Raw genomic sequence first — 6017 nt, 5'->3', positions numbered from 1 at the left:
CTCAAAAAAAAAAAAAAAAAGATAAAAAATAAAAATAAAATCTACTTTAAGTGGATCTTTTACCTATGCATGATTTTGTAACTTTTTACATTAGGCATTTGGGAAGTATTGATTTACTGAATATGCCAGTTTTCCAAAAGTTGATACATTTTATTCTCAACACAGAATAATCATATGGCTAATATTACCACCAATCTCATCAGAAAAGTCTGTCAGTACCAGGAAGCTGTCAGGCTCAACATGGTAGACACAAGTTTTCCCAAATTCTAATTTTCACTTGAAAACTCAAATTTTTCAGCTGGATACAAAAACAGAAAAAAAGAAAACTCATATTTTATTATTGGCAATAAATACTGTCAGTTGTTTTTCTTGAAGTGGCAGTCTCATTTGTTTATTTTTGAGAAAATGTCTATCCAGTATTCAAATCTGATTGATTAACCATAGTTTGTCTGCAGGCATTCTTTCAAGTAAAAATGATGTTCCATGAGAAAAGTGACTAATTTAGCTTGCAACTCAAACAATCATACATCATACAAAAGTACACGTACTCTTTCTTTTTCTTTCTTTCTTTCTTTTTTTTGAGACTGGGTCTCACTCTGTCACCCAAGCTGGGATACAGTGATGGGATTTTGGATCATTGCAACCTCTGCTTCCCAGGCTCGAGCAATCCTCCCACCTCAGCCTCTGGAGTAGCTGGGACAACGGTCATGCACCAACATGCTTGGCTACTTTTTGTATCTTTTTATATGTTGCCCAGGCCAGTCTCCAACTCCTGGACTCAAGCGATCTGCCCAACTCAGCCTCCCAAAGTGCTGGGGTTTCAGGCATGAGCCACCGCACCCAGCTCACAAGTACTTTCTCTTAAGACAACTATTGTACTTTAGAATTTGCTAGAAGTGCTTTCTGTGTATTTCTCACTTTTTTGCACAGAATGGTAAAAAGACATGGACTCAGGTGGAGATTTAATAAGATTAATAATTTTTACTGCTTTCCTAATAACATTTTTAGTGAAATGAATATTTTTCCTGCAAGTGTGGTGAAGAATGCAGCGATCATTAGTACAGTTTGGTGCCACTGCCTTGATTTCTGCTCAGTCACCAGCAGTCCTACCCACTGGCTTAGTCCATTTTTTGTTGCTATCAAACAATACTTGAGACTGAGTAATGTATAAAGAAAAGAAATTCATTTCTTAAAAGGGAGGCTGGGAAGTCAAGATTGAGAGTCCTGAATCTGCTGAGGACCTTCTTGCTGTGTCATCCCATGGCAGAAGGTGGAAGGGCAAGAAAGCACATGAGACAGAGAAAGGAAGGGCGCTGGACTCATGCCTTTATGAGGAGCCTGCTCCCACCATAACTAGCCCACCCTCGCCATAACCTCTTAAGGATCCCAACTCTTAATACTGTCACAATTGCAATTAAATTTCAACATGAGTTTTGGAGGACATGTTCAAACCATAACACCTACCATTGCTCTTGCACCATCAGTGCAAATGTCAGTACAGTGAAAAAGGTAAATAAATCTCAGTATTATAATGAAACTAGTTTTGGCCTTGTGGATCCCCTGAAAGGATCTTGGGGACCGTCGGGGTCAGCAATCTATACTTCAAGAATCACTGCCTATACAGTTACTGTGAGAATTAGATAAAATAATGTATGTAAAGCAGTTGGCATGGTACCTAGAATATTCTAAGTGCTTAATAAGTTCTAGCAACTCCATTTATTCTTCAAAATGATTTCACATATTTCATTTCCCGGTGACTTCTATGTCCTCACCACATCTAGCCCAAACTGCCTTTGTAGAATGAACTTTATACTTTTCTCTGAGCTTCTCAAAAGAAGGGCATGTATTCATAACAGAGGCCTGCCTAGTAACCAACTTATTTAAATGAATATATGAACTAGTCAAGGCAAATGTGCCAAATTCCATTTTACGGATAAAAAATGCTGTATGTCTGAGACTGCCTGACTTTTCAGTTGTAAGGTCAATGCTGTGGGCGGTGGGTGGGGTGGGGTGGAGAGGCAGGGGAGGGTTAGGGGGATGGGGTGGAGAGGCAGGGGAGGGTTAGCGGGGGTGGGGTGGAGAGGCAGGGGAGGGTTGGGGGTGGGGTGGAGAGGCAGGGGAGGGTTGTGGGGGTGGGGTGGAGAGGCAGGGGAGGTTTGCGGGGGTGGGGTAGAGAGGCAGGGGAGGGTTAGGGGTTGGGGTGGAGAGGCAGGGGAGGGTTGGGGGGGTGGGGTGGAGAGGCAGGGGAGGATTAGGCCCAAAGTGGGCATTATTGATTCTTGCATTCTATGAACATGCTGTATCATCCTTCCATTTACTTAGGTCTTTAATTTCTCTCGGCAATGTGTATACAGGTCTTGCTCGTCTTTCATTTAAATCATTTCTAGGCACTTCATGTGATTTTCAATAGATTGAAAGAATCAATATTATAAATATATCAATGTTCCTTAAATTCAATGCAATCCCTAATCAAAATCCCATCAAAACAAGCTAATTCTATTTATTTATTTATTATATTTATTTATTTATTTATTATTATTATTATTTTTATTTGAGACGGAGTTTCGCTCTTGTTGCCCAGGCTGCAGAGCAATGGCGTGATCTCAGCTCACAGAAACCTCCGCCTCCCAGGTTCAAGCGATTCTCCTGCCTCAGCGTCCCGAGTAGCTGGGATTACAGGCATGAGCCACCACGTCCAGCTAATTTTGTATTTTTAGTAGAGACGGGATTTCTCCATGTTGGTCAGGCTGGTCTCAAACGCCCAACCTCAGGTGATCTGCCCGTCTCGGCCTCCCGAAGTGCTGGGATTACAGGTGTGAGCCACCGTGCCTGGCCAAAACAAGCTAATTCTAAAATGCATAAAGGAATGCAAAGGGGCCGGGTATGGTGGCTCACGTTTGTAATCCCAATGCTTTGTGAGGCCAAAGTGAGTGGATCACTTAAGCCCAGGAGTTCAAGCCCAGCCTGGGCAACATGGCAAAACCCTGTCTCTATACAAAAATACAGAAAAAAAAAAAAAAAAAAAAAAAAAGCCAAGCATGATGGCATGTGCCTGTGGTCTGAGCTACTTACTTAGCTACTTGGTAGGCTGAGAAGGGAAGATAGTTTGAGGCTGGGAGGTTGAGGCTGCAGTGAGCCGTGATCGCACTCCATTCCACTCCAGCCTGGGCAACAGAGTTAGACCCTGTCTCAAAAACAAAAAAAACAAAAAAACAAAAAAAAGGATCTAGGGTAGCCAAAATAATCTTGGAAAAGAAGAAAAAATGTCAGGACTTACACTACCTGATTTGAAGACAATAAAACTATGATAATGAAGACAGTGTGGTACTGGGAAAGGATAAACAATGACATCAATGGGACAGGAGAGTTCAAAAACAGCACACAAAATACAATCCACTGATTTTGATGAGGATATCAAGGCAATTCAATGGGTAAAGGGCCGTTACATCAATACATTGTGCTGGAACAAGTAGTTATTCATATAGAAGAAATGAATCTTGACTTTCATCTCATACCATACACAACAATTAATTCAATTTTTTTATACACCTACACATGAAAGCTAAAACTCTAAAGCCTCTAAAAGAAAACATTAGAGACTATCTTCACAAACTTGGAGTAAGCAAAGACTGTTAAGGTAGGGACAGAAAGCTAAATAAGCACAAAAGAAAATTTCCCTCTGCTCCCAGAATCTCCCTCTGGGCTGGCAGCCCCTCCTGCACCTCCGGGTGCTAATACTTGTCCCTGATGCTCCATGCAGAGCCCCCAGCCCTGCACTCCCATCACCATGGGCTTCTGAAAGCTGAGGGTCATTGGGTAGCATTTTCACAACTTTTGCCACGATTTATTCAACATTTCCCTTTAAAGCATCTCCTTTTTTTATATATATTTATTATTTATTATTTTTTTTTTGAGATGGAGTCTCGCTGTGTCACCCAGGCTGGAGTGCAGTGGCACAATCTTGGCTCACTGCAACCTCCACCTCCCAGGTTCAAGTGATTCTCCTGCCTCAGCCTCCCAAGCATCTGGGACTACAGGCGCACGCAACCACGCCCAGCTAATTTTTGTATTTTTAGTAGAGAGGGGGTTTCACCATGCTGACCAGGATGGTCTCGATCTCTTGACCTCATGATCCACCTGCCTCAGCCTCCCAAAGTGCTGGGATTACAGGCATGAGCCACTGTGCCCAGCCTATTTATTTATTTTTGAGACAGAGTTTCACTTTTGTTGCCCAGGCTGGAGTGCAATGGTATGATCTCGGCTCACTGTAACCTCTGCCTCCTGGGTTCAAGCAGTTCTCCTGCCTCAGCCTCCCAAGTAGCTGAGATTACAGGCACACGCCACCACACCCAGCTAGTTTTTGTATTTTTAGTAGAGATGGGGTTTCACCATGTTGGTCAGGCTGGTCTCGAACTCCTGACCTCAGGTGATCCACCTGCCTCGGCCTCCCAAAGTGTAAAGCGTATCCTTTTCACTTACGTCTTGTCCTATCTATTTTAGCCCTGTCCTAAATAATCACTGCTGTGAAATTCCTAGTTTGATAGGTTTGTCATTTTTCTCCACTGCGTATTAGAATAAATTGTAACCGTAAATGTTTAAAATGTGTGAACAACCTAAAATGCTTTCATGTACTGCACTTAGGGTTTTTCCATGTTCTTGTGTAGGAATGTGTGTGAGCATGTCTGTGTGGGGGTGAGTGTGGGTATGGGGGTGAGTGTGGGTGTGGAGGTGTGAGTGGTGAGCATGTATGTGAGTGTCTGGGAATGTGCAAGTGTGTGTGCCTGAGTGTGTGGTGTGTGAGTGTAGTGTGGGATGGGGCTGGAGGAAGTCTAGGCTGACTACACAATGATGAGTCCTCGTCTGGGTGACCCACAATTCCCGGCAATGAGCCACATTCACCAGGAACCAGGCAGGGCAGAGGAAAGGCGTGTGGGGCAGAGGCCCCCACCCCCTTTTCTGCTCATTGCCCACAGGCCCTCAGAGGAGAGAAGGCTCTGTCAGTGGCCCAGGGAGTACCTGGTTACGGCCCGGCAGCCTGGTAACCATCACCAGGGACTAGGAGTACTTCTGGGAGCAGCAGGCGGGGGCAGATCCTTCACTGCTATATTTACAGGTCTGGATTTAGCACAGGACCTTGAGGCGAGGGACTGAGATCCAAAGTGTTCAATATGTTCTTCCCCCGGCAACCTTGTGCAAGGGGTATTTTTATAGGAGCTCAGAGAAGCCAGGAAAGTTCCTCAAGGCCCCACAGCTACGACATTCGGAGTGAGAGGAGGACCCAGGCCTTCTAATTCTAAGGTCAAAGCCTTTTCCAACATAGCAAGGAAGTACGGCACCTCCCAAAAGCACTGTGCCACCTGCTGCCCAGGTGTGAGAACCCAGGAAGGCGTGCCAAGTGCCACCCAATTTCATTGGTTCTTCTTGTACAGGTCTGCCTCAGTGGTCTCAGCTGAGTGGTTCTTGCGCCCATCTCCATGACCAACTGCTCAGCCAGAAACGGCTGGCCTCCCAGGCACAGGAGACCCATGAGCAGGGGTGATATTCCACAGAGCACCTGGCCTGCAAGGGCACTGACTGAACAGAACTAACTTCAGCTTGAGGAATGGGGGCAGGGTCCTGGAGGCGGGGCGGAGGGTGGTTCCTGAGGAGGCATCACAGCAGCCAGTGCACTGGGGACACTTGTGGGGCCTCAGGACGGTGGCTACTGACCAACCAGGAAGGAAGCACTTGCATATGTAAACAATCCATATTGCATACCCACACACTGTGGCTGCATGCCAGCCTTGCTCAAGAGGGCTCCTGTGTATTCACTCTTCTCAGAGGCAGAAGATGAGGAAGCTCCTTTCTCTGTCCCTCCCTCTTTTGCATTATGTGAACTGGGCCCCTTAGTGCCAGGCACAATACTGAAGATAAGAAGATAATAAAATCCAGAGCCCTGCCTGCCCCCAAGGAGCTCGGGCCTGTTTTCCCAGGAGATGTCCTCTCGATAATCTGGCCCCAGTGCTAGGCTGTCGAGG

At 45.3% G+C, this 6017-nt stretch overlaps 1 annotated feature.

Annotated features, from left to right (window-relative positions):
- Positions 4746-5708: an enhancer, noted in NCBI's record as "H3K27ac-H3K4me1 hESC enhancer chr14:69480951-69481913 (GRCh37/hg19 assembly coordinates)". NCBI's record gives its function as "activates a minimal SCP1, AML or CMV promoter by ChIP-STARR-seq in naive H9 embryonic stem cells {active_cell/tissue: H9 hESC(naive)}" and the evidence as "EXISTENCE:reporter gene assay evidence [ECO:0000049][PMID:30033119]".

This window comes from Homo sapiens, chromosome 14 (genome assembly GCF_000001405.40).
Source record: "Homo sapiens chromosome 14, GRCh38.p14 Primary Assembly".
NCBI classification, from domain to species: Eukaryota; Metazoa; Chordata; class Mammalia; order Primates; family Hominidae; genus Homo; species Homo sapiens.
Note: the sequence above shows the minus strand (reverse complement) of the source record. Positions and strands in the feature narration are given on the sequence as shown.